Source organism: Homo sapiens, chromosome X (genome assembly GCF_000001405.40).
Source record: "Homo sapiens chromosome X, GRCh38.p14 Primary Assembly".
NCBI lineage: Eukaryota > Metazoa > Chordata > Mammalia > Primates > Hominidae > Homo > Homo sapiens.
Window position 1 is genome coordinate 101251343 of NC_000023.11, and position 16876 is coordinate 101268218.

A 16876-nucleotide genomic window follows, 5' to 3' on the forward strand; every position below is an offset into this window, starting at 1 on the left:
GCACCTATGTACTAAATGGTATGCCAGCAAATGGTTCACAACCTACTCTCTAGAAAGAAAAAAGGAAAGCTGATCTGTAGCATTTGCTAATTTCTGTGATGTATATACTCCCACTGTGAATGACATCAGGCTATTTACAAGAGGTCTCTGAGCAGAGTCAGAAACAGATCCTCAGTTGCACACCATTTATATAGTATGTCAACCATGCAGATACAATAGATGTTAAGTAACCTCAAGAACATAGAGAGTAGCAAAGTAATTAGGAAGTAATGAGTTTTGAGTATTTATTACCTTTGTTTGTAATATAATTTATTTAATTGTGAGTTTATATAATTTAATAATGGCTAGATTTAACAACTGGCTTAGAAAACCCCTGAAATTTTAACAGCCAACTGTCGTGAGCTGGTATGAGCTGGCATCAGCACACCACAGTATATACCTGTGACCAACTTAAGGAATAAAACATTACTGCAATACATCTGAGGTCTCCTTGATTATATTCCTCTCCTTCCCCAACAAAGGTAACCACTATCCTGGATTGGACTTTCATCATAAAACACTCAACTTTTTACCTTTGTAAAACACTAACCCACAACTCTCCCTGTCATCACCCTGCTTTTCGTAAGATGAGCAAATGAGGCACACAGCTAGTTAGTGGTAGATCTAGACTAGATATTGGATCATATGACTCCTCTAAGTCTAGGCATTTCACTGTCCTATGCTACAAGGTTGGGCAGTTCAGCCAGGCTTTGGAAGTAGATCTGAAGGGCTATTCTTTGTTCTGCAATAATAGGTATATTATTATGAACAACCTTTGGAAATAACTTTTAGCCAACTTAGCCAAGGCTGGTAGAAAGAACTGCCTTCATATTGGAAGTGTAATTTCTCCAGGGTAGGTGGTGGTCCCTGGGAGCCTGGACCTGTTTGGGCCATCCTTGTTTAGAAGGCCATTTGATATGATGAGATATTTACCCCTGCTTCCCTCCTGTCTCCCTTAAACAAAGGTGGTGAGACAATGCTATTTCCCACACTTCATGGGAATCTGGCCTTGTGATTTCATAGAGATTTATGGTCTCTAGAATAAAGTTATTCATCTATTGAGAATTCAGCCACTGCTATGTATACGAGGTTGGGCATGTTATGGCTCCATGCCTCATTCATCCCCTTCTACTGTGTGTGTATATTTTAATGTTAGGGGAACAGCGGGGAGGTCACTGTGGCACGTTGGACTCTCTTTCCTACTACATCTCCTCTCCCCCAAGGTACCGGAGTCTGAAGCAATTCAACGTTGACATCTGCCAGACCTGCTTCTTGACAGGCAGGGCCAGCAAAGGCAATAAGCTGCACTACCCCATCATGGAGTATTACACACCGGTATGAAGCCTCCAGGCTGGGTGGGAGGGTTAGGCAGCTCTCAGGTACTAGGCCTTGATCCACTTTGCCCAGCATTGGCTCATTGTTTTCTGCTCTCCCGTGGGGAGCATTCTCCAAGGAGCTCTGGTGATTCACTGGTTTGGGAAATTCAGGCCTCTCTATTCTTCCAGCAGAGCTTCTCCCTCACCAGGCCTGGCCACAGCTGGCCCAGGACACTCTCAGCCATTTAAAGGGCACTCACTGTTTTACTGCAGAGAAAAGTCTCAGGAAAAACAAAACAAAGCAAAACAAACAAACAAACAAACTAAAACAGAGAGAGCAAGGCAGTTCCAGGTGATTCGCCTTCCATTGCTCACTTGAGTTTTTCCTGGCTAGCTTCCTATATTGCTTCTGTACTGGGTCACTCAGTCTTTCCCTGATGCTTTGTCATTATTTCTACCCCTTCTAGTCAGTACCAAAGCTTATGCTCAAATTAATTATTCATCCCTTGGAGGGAAAAAAGAAAGGTATGTCCTTTACCTGGACCCCCAAACTCCACTTGGTTTTCCCTGGTAACCATGTCCTCCATACTTGCCTTAGCCCAGTTCAGTCAGCATCCCTGAACTCCAGCCACAGAGTTGCTCCTGTGCTGTGTCTAAAACCCACAGCTCCATGCTTAGCTTCCAGCACTGACTCTGCTCCCTACTCATCTTTATCCTTTTCTGTCCCCGCAGATGCTCCCAAAGCCCTGATCATATCCCCAGCTCCCACCACTGCTCTCTCTCCCCTATTCTGTCTATTTTTCTTTTTTTTTTTTAGAATTTTTTTTTAATTTTACTTTCACCTTTTTTTTTTTTTTTTTTTTTTTTTGAGACAGAGTCTCACTCTTACCCAGGCTGGAGTGCAATGGTGCGATCTTGGCTCACTGCAACCTCTGCCTCTGAGGTTCAAGCGATTCTCCTGCCTCAGCCTCCCAAGTAGCTAGTGTCTCCTATTTTTCAACCTGTTTCCCCACAATCCATCTGTCCAAGCTTTCATCTCTTCAAATCCTGTTGACACAGAAACGTGTGGCCTGGTGGGAACAGGGACCATGCCCTTTACTTTTCATTTATTATCATTTTAAAGAAAACATTAGAAAAGTCATACATGGAAAACTGGCTGGATCTGGTAGACTGATAATCCTCTACCACCTGCTCGTCCTCTACATCCTTAGAATTCATAGAAAAGCTATTTTAAAAATTAACAAACATATGCTCATTATAAAATATTGGAATCATATAAAAGCGTTTAAAGTATAAAAAAAAGGCTGGGTGCCATGGCTCACACCTGTAATCCCAACACTTTGAGAGGCCGAGGTAGGAGGATTTCTTGAGCCCAGGAGTTCAAGACCGGCCTTGGTAACACAGTGAGACCCCTGTCTCTACAAAATTAATTATTATTATTATTAGTTTTGCTTTTAGAGGAACTGAGACAATTAAATTTTTAAGTATAAAATGAAAGTCCTCCTGTCTCCTCACCCTGGCCCCCACCCCTCCAGTTCAACTTCCCAGAGGCAACCAGTGTTGAGTTTGGCATATATCCTCCCAGACCTTCTTCTAGGAGCAGGGTATGGTGGGCATGAGCAAGAGTGGATTACCCAGCAGGCTGTCTGCTCTAGCAGAGCAGCCACACCTGCCCAGTATATCTGGAAGCCATTAGGGTAAGTTCCTCTGCCCTGTCTCCTCCTCAGACCACATCCAGTGAGAACATGAGGGACTTTGCCACAACCTTAAAGAACAAATTCCGCTCCAAGCATTATTTCAGCAAACACCCTCAGCGAGGTTATCTGCCTGTGCAATCAGTGCTGGAGGCTGACTACAGTGAGACGTGAGTACTGGTGGCTGAGCAGGGGCTGTGGGCAGCCTCACTGAGCCCGATCGTATGCTGTGAAGGGGCTGAGTCCCGAGTGGGCTAGGAGAATGTTCCAAGGTAAATCCCACTAGTGATAGGGCCGTTCAGCTTGGGCCTGACCTGCACTCTGGCCTGAGAAGTAGACTGGAATCCAGTCTTTGTATTTTGTTCCCATCAGCTCTTGCCCATGTCCATAATGTAGGGAGCAGGAGAGGGAGGAGGAAACAGGCTGCCCAGTCTTTGGTCCTCCGAGTCTTTGCTGCTTTCTTCTAGGCCGGCTTCTTCCCCGATGTGGCCACACGCCGACACACACTCCCGAATTGAGCATTTTGCCAGCAGGTACCACCAGGTTTGCGGGAGGTGGGTAGGAGCTGTTGTAGGAAGTCCGAGGGGAAAGGATCTTCAGTCGGGGCAAGGAGAATGGAGTCAGGGCCAGGGGATGTGCACAGTGGGGTGTGCAGCAGCCAGCAAGACCCAACACTTAGGAGTAGTTGGGGCAGCTCTCAAAGCCAATGATCCTGCTGTGAGATTAAAGTCCTTGAGATGGAAGCAGGCCCCACATCCTGTTTTCTCTCCTGCCTCTGCTCTTTATTCCTAGGCTTGCTGAGATGGAAAGTCAAAATTGCTCCTTCTTTAATGACAGCTTGTCCCCAGATGACAGCATGTGAGTTTCCACAGCTGCTTATTTGCCAGAAATAGTTCTCCTTGAGATCTTTGTGCCACTGTTTGGGAAGGGTATATCCTCCAGGGAATGGGGGTGTGTGGTGGTTAGGATCCTTAGCTCCCTAAGGAAGGAAGGCTGCTTTCTGGGCACGGTGTTCAGTAAGAAAGGCAGTCTTCCCTCTATCAATCAACCTAGGAAATGAGTGATGTACTAGCTCTCTGCCATCTTTCCAAGTCCCTTCCTGTTGCAAGATCCCATCCTTCTATACACAACTTTGAGGAACGAAGAATATGCCCTCCCTCATCTGAAGTTGCAGAAAGGAGCCATTATCTTGTGCTCAAGATGCCAAAGCCCTATCTAGTGCTACACTAACCCTGGGAGACATCAGGGACTTGGCTGAACTATAGCCAAGGGAACTCCCTGGTATGACAGCCCAGAGAAGGGGCCTTGTGTCTCTAGGGAGGTCCCCACCCTGCTCAGAGGTCCTAGGAGCTTCTGGCTACATGGATCAATCTGCCCTGACTGGGACCCAGATCCCTCTAGAGGAAGAGGAAACAAAGGAGGGTAGAGTAGGGGAACAGCACAGAAAGGGAAATGATTTGCTCATTGTTTCCCGGGGAGGGGGGTGGGCTGTAAGTAGAACCCAGATACCTGCATCCTGAAAACACTCTCTCAATACCCCCAACCACAGCCTCTGCCTCCTTTGAACACTTTCATCCCTCTCAAGCCTCAGTATATGTCCTTTCCCTCTCGATGTGACTTAGAAGTGAATCCTCCAGCATGCATTTCCTGGGGCCTGAGCTGAGAGCTGAGTTGTTTCTCTGTTCAACAACTGGTCACCTACTCTGCTTTCCCCACACCCATGCAGAGACGAGGACCAGTACCTGCTGCGGCACTCCAGCCCCATCACAGACCGGGAGCCAGCCTTTGGACAGCAGGCTCCATGCAGTGTGGCCACAGAAAGCAAAGGGGAGCTACAGAAGATCCTGGCCCACTTGGAAGATGAGAACCGGTGGGTGTGATGATAGCAGAAATCTGTGTGGGTTCTTGAGGCAGACAGATTGAATTTAAGTCCAGGCACTTCTACATCCTAGCTGTCTGACCTTGAGCAAGTTACTTATATTCTGTAATCCTCTATTTCCTTATCTGTAAAACGGGGATGATGATCATCAAACCTGCCTCCTAGGGTCACTTGTGAAGACCAAATGAGATCAGGCATATAATGTGTTTGGCTCAGTGCCTGGCTTATAGTAAGGGTTCAATAAATGCTAGCTATTATAATAATTATTTGAAAACTTTTAAATTTTTTTTTTTTTTGAGACAGAGTCTCACTCTGTTGCCCAGGCTGGAGTGCAGTGTCGTGATCTCGGCTCACTGCAACCTCTGGCTCCTGAGTTCAAACGATTCTCATGCCTTAGCGTCCCGAGTAGCTGGGACTACAGGCATGCACCACCATGCCTGGCTAATTTTTTTTTTTTTTGGTATTTTTAGTAGAGACGGGGTTTCACCATGTTGGCCAGGCTGGTCTTGAACTCCTGACCTCAAGTGATCTGCTCACCCCGGCTTCCCAAAGTGCTGGGATTACAGGCATGAGCCACTGTGCCTGGCCTGAATCCTTTTAATGTAACCCAAATTTTTCCAAGAACACACAAGATGCAAGCAGAGAGAATGCATAGAGAAAACAGGAGAGGGTATGACATGTTCCTGCCCTCAGAGACCTTTCAATGTTGGAAGTGGAAAGAAATGTGTATCACCTAGTAAAAGTATTCCAGAGGACAATGACACTACATAGAGCGTTGGAGGTCTGGAATAGGGATGGTGAAGAAGAATACAGGGAAGACATGACTTTCCATAAAGTAAAGGTGGCAGCAGGTACCTAAGGAGGGTCCAAGCCTCTTATGGGGCATGAAGTAGAATTCGTAGTACCCCTTAGAGCAGTGCTTTGCAAACAGTAGTGCATAAGATAGTCACTTGGGAAGCTTGGTAAAATACAAATTCTAAGTCACAGGTCTGGGTGGGGCCTGAGTTTCTGCGTTTCTCACTAGCTCCCAGTGGATGCCCATACTGCTGTTCCACAGGCCACACTTGGAGTAGCAAGTCTTTAGAACAGTGCTACTCAGAGTTTGGAGAGCAGACCAGGGCCAGTTTGTGACCAGTTTGTGACCAGTCCAAGGCAAGATAAAAAAAAAAAAAAAAAAAAAGAGAGAGTAAGCTTTTAGAAACTTTTACAGCAATTTGACATTGCTATGATATTCAAGCACCAAATTAGTAGGCTCATCTCGTTGAATAGGGTAGAGACCAGTTTGAGTGTTGTTGAACTTGTGTGATGAATTACGTGGTGTGAGCTATGTACTAGTCATGTGCATTGGGACCACATACTGGTCCACAACAGAGTGAAAAAAAAAAAAACCTGGATTTTTGCCATGAATCATTTGAGAAACACTGCCTTTGAGCAGCAGTCTGCAGGCCCTGGGAAACACTGGGCTGAGAGTGACTGTTCTGTTGCAAATAAAGAAAAAACGAACAAAGCCAAAAGTGATATCCCCAAAAGTAGGCCACCTGTTTGGAATTTGTTTTTTTGATGACCCAGCATGGGTGTTCAAAGTGGGCCAAAGAGGAGGATTGTGGAGAGAAGAGGCAAGACAGGTGGTCTCTTGTTTATGTTATGTTTTCCCTTGGAATCTAAACATCTAAAAATGGAGTAGGTGAGTCAGTGGCCCTAATGCCTCCTTTATTTGCAGACTGTGTTTCTGCCTGATTTTAAGGTCAGAATTAATCCCTAAAGCAGCACATCAAAGCCCTGAGACATTTCTTACGCAAAATGTCAACTTTCTCTGCTCTGAGGTCTCAGGATGGCAGAGTAAATGACATATGTGCTGGAGAGGAAGTGGATGTGGCCATTCAAGCAAGAGCACAGCTGGGGGTGGGGATGGGGGTGGGGGTGAGGTAGGGTGGAAGAGCACAGGGATTGTTCACACCTAGGCCTGAGGGGACATCTGAAACCTGGACAGTCAGAGCCCTGTTAGAGCCATAGGTCTTGGTGTCTCTCTCCATGGCAGGATTCTCCAGGGAGAGCTGAGGCGCCTGAAGTGGCAGCATGAGGAGGCAGCTGAGGCACCCAGTCTGGCTGACGGCTCCACTGAGGCAGCAACAGACCACCGCAATGAGGAGCTTCTGGCCGAGGCCCGTATCCTTCGGCAACATAAGAGCCGCCTGGAGACGCGCATGCAGATCCTCGAAGATCACAACAAGCAGCTAGAGTCCCAGCTGCAGCGTCTGAGGGAGCTTCTCCTGCAGGTGAGGATGGAGACAGGAAAAGAGCCAGGGTGGCCTCTGAGCCCAGGGGAAGGGCTGGGGAGCTGAGGGCTGTGGCAAAGAAGACACAAGAGAGAGCTCCTTGGCAGTGGCTGTCAGGTAACTTCCTGAAGAGAACTGGGCCTGCGGTTGGTGGGGGGGCGGGGGAAAGAAGAGACTGGTATGGTCACATCTTCAGCCAACTCTCTTCCACCTACCTTCCATGCCACCCTGTGTGTCACTCTCCAGCCACTGTGGGGCCTGGGGCAGAGAGAAGACTTCTGAGGGCTTATTTCTTCACAACCCATTGGAATCCCATACTAAAAGAACAAACTTCAAAAATCATCTAAAACATTGATTTTGCTAGTATGGTATTTGCTAGAAAGAAGTGGGTTGGGACAAGTTTGGCAAGAGAAAGATTAGTGCTATCTAAAGGTGTTTCTTGTTACTTTTTGCACCTTTCATCTCTGAGAGGCAATGTGTATGCTGTGGTAAAGCTCTGGAGTCAGGCAGCTCTGGGTTTGCATGTGGCTCTGCCAATTGACTGTGGGGTGTTTGGACAGTTAGTTAACCTCTCTAAGCCCCAGTTTCCTCATCTGTACAACAGAGATGGTAACAGTACCAACTTCATAGAATTGTGGTGAACATAAAAGGAGATAATGCATTTATGGAATTTAGCATGATGCCAGGAATTTAGTACACACTTCATAAATGTTACCTATTATTGTCATTATATGTAATGGAAAATACCACTCTTCTGCCTCTTCCCCAGATCCTCCAAGGAATGGCCTCTATGGATTCCTGGAGGTTTCTAACATATGCTATGTCATGAACCAAGGATCAGGTGTGAAACTCTACATTTCCAGAGAGAATTGTGTTCTAAATAGCTTAATTATAGCTGAAATGACAGCAAGAGACCTTTAGGTACAATGCCATTCTTTATTTAATTAATTAATTAATTAATTAATTTTCAAGACAGAGTTTGGCTCTTGTTGCCCAGGCTGGAGTGTAATGGCTCGATCTCAGCTCACTGCAACCTCCGCCTCCCAGGTTCAAGCGATTCTCCTGCCTCAGCCTCCCAAGTAGCTGGGATTATAGGCATGGGCCACCATGCCCGGCTAATTTTGTATTTTTAGTGGAGACGGGGTTTCTCCATGTTGGTTAGGCTGGTCTTGAACTCCTGACCTCAGGTGATCCGCCTGCGTCAGCCTCCCAAAGTGCTGGGATTACAGGCGTGAGCCACCGCGCCCAGCCTACAATGCCATTCTTATAAGAACTGGGAGCCTTTGACACATGTTGTTAAAGGAAGAAGGTAATGGGTAATTCAATATTCTAAGAAGTTTCCTAAAAGTGGAAGCCACTGTTTTAGGTAATACCAAAAGCTTCTTAAAGTCTAAGGGTAAAGGGATGGTATGAAGTCTCTCAGGTCCCTTCTAAGCTCAGGAGTCTGTCAGAGTAAGGTCAGGAAGGCAAATCCACTTAAGTCATGCCTTACCTCTTGCTAGCCACCCACCGAATCAGATGGCAGTGGCTCTGCAGGCTCGTCCCTAGCTTCCTCTCCACAGCAGTCAGAAGGCAGTCACCCCCGGGAGAAGGGACAGACTACTCCAGATACCGAGGCTGCAGGTGAGTTCCCCTGGCCTTTCCCAGCCCCTTTCTCCATGGCTTTGTCCTGCCCTCGATTTCCTGCCCAAGGCTTTGCGGGGCTGGGACTGGTTTCTCCTCTTGGCTTTGTGCTTAGGGTCAGGGATGATTGGTTTACTGATTGATTAATTCATATGCTTATTCCACAAATAAATATACATTGAGCACAACCTATGTATTAGGCATTGTGCTGGGAAGATGCAAATGCTGCGGGCAGGTCTGCCCTTCAGCTGGCAGAATTCTATCTGACCCCTTGGCCTCATAAAGGAGTCTCTAGTTCTCTTCTCAAATCTCTGTTTTTTAACCCAGATGATGTGGGGTCAAAGAGCCAGGATGTCAGCCTGTGCTTGGAGGACATCATGGAGAAACTCCGTCATGCCTTCCCCAGTGTGCGAAGTTCTGATGTGACTGCCAACACCCTGCTGGCCTCTTGATGGAGCCAGATCCCCATCCTATAGTTCATAGTCCTCTCCTGGTTCCGGTCAAAGCCTTTCCTCAGCCTTCACCCAACCTTTCCAGTTTCCACTGGCCCCACATTCCTCAACTAGTATTATTTGGGCTCTGGGCAGCAGCAGGGATCTGGTGGTATGTGAGGTGCATGCGGGCAGTGATGGGAGAAGGGGAGGCATGATTCTTCTGACCCTAGAAATGTTCCCTTTAATCTTCAAGTTCGAGATCAGCCCTTTAAGTACCTTTCTGTTGCAGCCCAGGCAAATATCACTTGGCCATTCAGATGGGGAGCAGAGAAGCTGCCTTGCAGAGCTAAGCGGTACATGTTGGCCCCTCTTCCTTCTCCGTGGAATTATGGAAAGAGAGAAGCCTAATTACCCCAAGGTTCCATCCAGCATTATGAATCCACAGGGTTTACCCCTACTCTCTGGCGCAACTCAGGGAGGCAAAAGGGTATCCCCGAGACACCTTCCCCACCCCAAGTGCCCCTGAAAAAGTCTGGGCAGTGTGTGTTCTATTACTTCAGCTCCAGGACAGATTGCTAGCCATCCTAATGCTACCTAGGTATTGGTTTCTCCTCAAATATCTTCATTTTCTTTAGCCTCAGTCCCTGACAGACCTTCCTTAAGGGGAGAACAGTTCATTCTGGTTCTTCTACGTTATATTTGGAAGCATTAAATCCATACTTATGGGTTTAGATTTTTTTTTTGCCCCACATCTTCCTATTTCTTAAAGTCCTCAGCATTTTGAGAGACCCACTGAGTTGCGAGTTGCTCTGGAAACCTGGCTGAAGCCACCCTTTGCTCCTCTGAGTCTGTCCTCACAGACCTGAGGACACAGTGGCAGCTTGCTGAGCAAGGGAGTGTTGCTTTCCTTGGGTAAGGAAGAGGAAGCCCACCTCAAGTCTGGAGTAGTATGACTGCCATCCAACACCCTTCCAGGCTGTGACCCTTCTAGCTCTCAGGCTGAATCAGGTGAGGTGGCTGATTGTCCCCAGCTAATCATAAGGCATTTGCAACTGGCTACCGTGTGTAGTGGCCCCTCCATAGGAGCCACAGGCCACAAATCAGGAAGCTGGCCACTTTCCACCCAGACAACAACAGCAAGGCCTTCCTGTGCCTAAAATTGTTATTTCTAACTCTGGAAGGTGAATCCAATCCTCAAACTGAACTAGCTCTTCCTAGGCGACATATACCATGATCTCTTTATCCAGAAACTGTTCAGAATAGATAGTAGGGGTGGGGGAGTGGGCTTGGGAATGTTGAATAGATTCAGAGCCCACTTAGGCAGCTTTCTCCCAAGAGGAGCTTTATAACCTAGAGCCCTGCAGTTGACTTCATTTGCCTAAGTTTATATACATACATATCTATTCTACATATCTACTGTACATCAGTGCTCTCCTGGCCTCACTCACACATTAAATTCTAATACCTCTTGAAGTATTAATGTTCTGCCTTGCTCTTTGTTAGCCCCAGCCTCTGGTTGGAAAGATAGATGTATCCTGGCTGTTCCCCTAGGATATCTCTCTCCATTGATGTTTGGGGTGGGCTGTCCTCAAGACCAAAGCAACAGAAACCTGTGGTCACAGAGAATCTAACAGGAAGAGTCACTGTTCTCTTCACTCATTCCAAATCTTGTTCCCTTGAGACCTGGGCCTTGGGTGAATTTTCCTGGGCTCCCCTAAATGGTTCAGGTGCCAAAATAGAGCAAACCCAAGCTCTGCCCACCCCATGCAGAAAAGGACAAACAGGCCTTTATTAGCCTTTGCCAGCTAAGACACAGAGAACATTCTCTGGTCCCTTCCAGCTCTTATGGTCTCACTCAGGGCTAAAGAAAGCAACAGTTGCCACCACAATCAGGAGGGAGTGACGGTTGGGGTGTTGTATTATAATCCAGCAGTGGGCCAGTGGGTAGAACTGCTAGGAACCTAGTTTGATCTGCTGCAGGGGAGGCAGGGCAGTGGCTTGGGTCCAGAAGCTTAGGGTTGCCTCCTCCACCACTAAGTCACAGGTCCAGGGTGTCAGACTTCACAGCATAACATCTGCCTTAGTGTTCATGAGGTCTCTGGGCAGGAGAACTGGGTATCTGGATAGATGGTTGAGCAGGTGGTAGGCGGGCATCAATCATAGAACCTGGGCATCAGTCAGAGTGGGAGCATATTTGTAGAAGCCTAGATTGTGGGCGGGAATGTGGGACGGAGGGCTCAAGGACTTTGGAGGCATATGCCTGCCTAAGCCTTAGGCGGGTACATGTTATGGAGCAATTTTTTACCAGGAAAGTCCTGGAAAATCTTTTCTGTTATCCCCACCCCACCTGAGAGCTCTTGGGCTGCTGAGGGCCTGTGGCAACTGCAGTGGGCCAGGCATGGTAGAAAAGATGTAGATCTTGTTATGTAGGATTTGCGTTGTAGGTGGACTGAAGCAGCAGGTCAAGAGTTGAATTCTCACTAAGGGGTCACTGACATTTTGTGGTCCTGTGTTTACCTTAATGCCTAAGGTGAGTGTATTGTTCAAGGGTCCAGGGACAGTCACTGCAGTATGTGTGGGGAATTTTCCCACAGTAAGGTAAATGGATCCTTGGGTACTATGAATCCAACTTGGGGTTGGATTTACCAAAATGTGTTGTATGTTGTTAGACATCTTGTTGTGTATTAGTCTTCTAAGGATATTGTGCATGGCACTGTGTAGTTTATAGCCCTACACTGGAAGGATGGTGAAGGGAGTTGCTAGATTGATAGCCTAAAGAAAACCTTCTGACTGTGGGATTAGCATCAATGATAAGGAATGTGAGCATTTGCTGGGGTTGTTGTCAAATAGTATCAGAGAACAGTTAGGACTGAGAGGTGATTTCTTCTTGACAGAATTTGATAGAGGCCAAAAAGCCATTACGAGGATACCTCTGCTTCCAGTGACAGCAGAGTGGATTCACATTGATTGGGCATTGTCACGGAAGGCTGACTAGCTGGAGGACATCAGGCTGTGCTATGCTTCCCTAGGGAGGACATGTGCCCTTCCCTCCAGATTAGAAAGGCTAGAATCAAGAGTTTCAAGTGCTCATTTTCTTCAAGGTCCAAGGTTGGGAACTATTTCCCTACAGAGAAATCTGTTTGAGTTTCTGGTGCTCCAGGAAATGGGTTGGCAGGACACAGAAATGAGAAACCCTGAGGCCAGGAAGAGGCCAATCCTAGGAGATGTTTTCCCTCCAGATTCATTTTAAGGAATATCTGTGCTTCCTGATGTGTGTGCTTGAGATTTGGGCTCTATATCCAGCATTTGAACTCACATTCTCAGTGGCAGAGTCATGGTCTGTGGCACCATTTCAAGGCCAAAAATCCCATCCAATTTCCCTTCACATAGATGACAGAAAAGCAAGAAAGTAGCTGCCTTAACTCGAACAGTTCTGGGAAAAAAACTGGGGGCCTTGTCCTGAGGCTGTGGAGACTTAATTCTTCAGCTGGGTGGTTCCCGTAGGAACAAGGAACACTTTAGCTACTTCTTACTCTTTTAACACCAATGGCTGTGGGAGAAGGAAAGGCTCAAGGCCAGGGCTCAGCTCGCAGAGTCCATCTTCTCCCACAGTTGCCACATTTGAGAGGGGGCCTGCTGAATGCCCTTGCTGTCCCCTATGGCAGTATTGAGGCCTGACCGAAGTCTGGTATGCTGCTTGCTGGCTACAAGAACTGGTCACAGGATGAAAATTGGGGAAAGGATTTGGGGGAGGTGACAAGGGTGGCATGGAAGTCTAGGGGACAAAGGGACAGGGTTGGGAACAAATTGGTTAACTTTGATTGCCACTCACTGTGGTGCTTTCCCCCTTTCCCTTGAATTCTGCTTTGAAAAGAATAAATTTGTACTTGTTTACTTTGGTTCCTCTGGTTATACTCTCTGAGTCTGATATTTCATATCTTTCCCTTATTTGGGGGTGGGAAGAGAGGGTAGACCAAGAAGCCACAGAAGTACTGTAAAACATAAGGCTACCAGATGAGTCCAACACCTGTGGGACACAAAAAGACCTCCCCATTGGGCTCATCTGCCACTGTTACCCGGATTAATCACCTCTCAACATCCTCCCAGCCCTCCCCAAATTAGCTAGTTAGCGCCTTATGAGATGAGCTGTATGTAGCAATCGTTTCTAAATTTCATCCTCCTCAATCTGAGGGTTTTTCACCAGCCTGAAGCATTGTAAGAAAAGTCAGGACAATGCATTGAGTTTTCATAAAATTATATTAAGTTTAAAGGTCTACCTTTTATTCTGAGATTACGGATACACACACACACAGACACACACACACACACTATATATATATATATATATATAGTGTGTGTGTGTATATATCCGTAATATATATATAGTATGTGTATGTATATATATATATCCATCTATATATATATATCCTGTGTGTGTATATATATCCTGTCAATAAGTAAAACCCTGTCAGTCCCTCTTTTTCTTTTTCTTTTCTTTTCTTTTCTTTTTATATTAAGGATATATATATATATCCGTAATATATATATAGCATGTGTATGTCTGTATATATATAATCCATCTATATATATATATCCATCTATATATATATATATATATCTCCTGTGTGTATATATATATCCTGTCAATAAGTAAAACCCTGTCAGTCCGTCTTTTCTTTTCTTTTTTTTTTTTTTTGAGACGGAGTCTCACTCTGTCACCCAGGCTACAGTGCAGTTGTGCAATCTCAGCTTACTGCAACCTCTGCCTCCTGGATTCAAGCAATTCTCCTGCCTCAGCCTCTCACCAAACTATAGCAACACTGTCCAGTATAAAATAATGCAAGCCACATATGTAATTTTAAATTTTATAGCAGCCATATTACAAAAATAAAAATAGATGGAATTAATTTTAATAACCCAATATATCCACAATATTACCCTTTCAACATGTAATAGTATAAAACAATTATTAATGAGATTTTAAAATATATTTTTAACCAAGTCTTTGGAAATGTCAAGCAAGCTGACACATTCAGCTGGGGGAAACACACACACACACACACACACACACACACACGAGATCCAGAGAGATCCAGACAGTTTATTCCTTATAGAGACAGAAAAAGCAAGATCAGCAATCGTATCAGCTCCCTGCATCCCTCGTCCCACAGAACAATATAACAGGGCAACAAAAGGGGCTAGATGACAGGCAACATGAATGGTAGGACCCCCTGGTACTGTGTAGCCAATGACACACTGCAGCTAAGCAGTTTTATGGCCTGCAACTGTACCCTCTGGAGTGGGAAGCAGGCAGAAAGCCCTATACTTAACTGGAACGAGGGAGGCAGGTGACAAGCTGTCTCATGGCAACCTCCCTCAAGATAGGGAGATGACTGAGAAACGCTCTTGTAGCAAATTCTCACAAGACTGCCTGTCTTCCTGTGTTCCGGGAGGATCACAGGATGTTATGCCAGGACCTGAGTCAGCCTGCAGTTGAGCCTGGCCTGTGTGGCCTATGTGGATAGTGTAAGGTCATCAGGATGCGGGCACAGAGCAGTTCCTTTATAGAAATCCAGTGTTTATTTTACACTTACTGCACATCTCAACTCAGGCTAGTCATGTGGTGCTCAAAAACCACATGTGCCTAGTGGATACCATATTGGACAGCACAAGTCTGTAGCATACAGAAGTCAAAATCACTGAGCTATAGCAAAGGAAAACTTTCTGAGGTGTCAGAGTGAATGTGTGCATGTGTATGTTGGGGTGGGGTGGAAAGTCAGAACGGCAATAGCTTTGGGTGACTGGAGGGCAGTGGTGAAGTAGCCCCCCTGGGTTACATTGAGAAGTGGTAGCAGAGGAGATGGAGGGGCATCGCAAACACACTAGCTTGCCCTTGCCCCTTCCTGTTGTGTTGTCTTCCCTACCACCCCGCCTCTCAGCAGAGCTCTGACTGTTCTCAGGCTGCAGTATCAGACAGAGGCTGTATGAGGGCTCTTCTACCTCTTCCACTCCTGGATGCCCGCTGTGGCACATGTGCCACACTCACTGGCCTGTCTCTCCAGCATGACCCCAGGGTACTTTCTATCAGTCCCCTGCCTGCCTTTATCTGGAAAGGCCTATCTTCTTTTCAAACTCTGCTTCTTTCCCCACCTTCTACCTCTGACACTCAACTTCTTTCCCTCATTCTTTCTCCTTATTCTCATCTTTTAAGTTACGGGTTTCTGAAAAAAACAATCTTTTTAAAATATCATCTTGGTTTTCAAGCAATCCTCGAACTTCTCTCCTAATCTGGGCTCCATTTTGTTTGCCTTTAACATGCCTATCTCCCTTAGTCCTACTTTTTCCCTTGCATTTCCCTCAGCATTCCTGCCGTCTCCATCCCAACTTCACAGGCCCTGCTCATACATGACCTCTCCTTTGCCCATGGCTTAACTTTGACTTGGAGTAGGAGCACTAAAAGTGGCACGGAGAACTGAGGATTATATTTCTTAAAGCAGCACTGACTTTGTCAATTGGGATCAGACCCGGGGCTAGCTGGGCTACTTCCAGAAAACCCCCAGATGCCTCTTGGTGGTAAGCATTATCACCCATGATTTACAATGAGAAAATAGAGGCTCTAAGAAGCGTAGGGGTGGGCAGGCATGATGGCTCACGCCTGTAATCCCGGCACTTTGGGAGGCCAAGGCAGGTGGATCACCTGAGGTCAGGAGTTCGAGACCAGCCTGGCCAACATAGTGAAACCCCGTCTCTCCTAAAAATACAAAAATTAGCCAGGCATGGTGGCAGCTGCCTGTAATCCTTGCTACTTGGGAGGCTGAGGCAGGAGAATCACCTGAACCCGGGAGGCGGAGGTTACAGTGAGCCAAAATCGCACCACTGCACTCCAGCCTGGGCGACAGAGCAAGACTCCATCTCAAAACAAAAAAAGAACCATAGGGGCTTGCCCAAGGCAAGTTCCATCCTTGTGTGAGTTCCACTACAGCATGGTAATTCAACCCAAATATTGGAGCCGCCATTTGTATCACTTCTCTAACCACCCCCCACCACCCGCTCCATCTCATATTAACCATATAGCATTGGGATTTGGAGCAAATCTTCTCACCTTAACAATACAGCATTGGGATTTTATTTGCTTAGTTTATTAGGAGTTACCCTAAGAACTCTGGAAGGATGCCCCAAGGCTGATAGCATCTTCTGCCATTTTCTAATCAGAGTGCTATGGTCCGAATGTGTCCCCCAAAATTCATATGTTAAGATATAATCAGTAATGTGTTAGTATTAAGAGGTAGGGCTTTTGGGAGGTGATTAGGTAATGAGGGCTCCACCCTTATGAATGGAATTAGCGCCCTTTTAAAAGAGGCCCGAGGGAGTTTGTTTGCCCTGCGGTCATGTGAGGATGCACCCCGAAGACGCTAGGAAGCAGACAAACCCCTCACCAGATGCCAAAGCTGCTGGCACCTTGATCTTAGACTTCCAAGCCTCCAGAGCTATAAGCAATAAATTTCTGTTGTTTATATTTACCCAGTCTATGGTATTTTTGTTACAGCAGCCCAAATGAACTAAGATATAGAGCTTATTGCTTTTCTTCTTGTTTCTGTTTGGATATGAGTACACT

General features: G+C 46.3%; 1 protein-coding gene across 5 annotated transcripts in view; it reads left to right on the forward strand.

The window, feature by feature from the left end:
- DRP2 (dystrophin related protein 2) overlaps window positions 1-13160 on the forward strand; it is a 44717-nt gene extending 31557 nt beyond the window's left edge. For all 5 annotated transcript variants that reach the window (NM_001939.3, XM_017029333.2, XM_047441894.1 and 2 more), the window contains 8 exons: window positions 1263-1374; window positions 3083-3219; window positions 3517-3582; window positions 3842-3907; window positions 4776-4919; window positions 6967-7204; window positions 8707-8827; window positions 9155-13160. In NM_001939.3, coding sequence (NP_001930.2) covers window positions 1263-1374; window positions 3083-3219; window positions 3517-3582; window positions 3842-3907; window positions 4776-4919; window positions 6967-7204; window positions 8707-8827; window positions 9155-9279 — 1009 coding nt within the window. In that variant the 3' untranslated portion in view covers window positions 9280-13160. The remainder of the gene's footprint in view (window positions 1-1262; window positions 1375-3082; window positions 3220-3516; window positions 3583-3841; window positions 3908-4775; window positions 4920-6966; window positions 7205-8706; window positions 8828-9154) is intronic.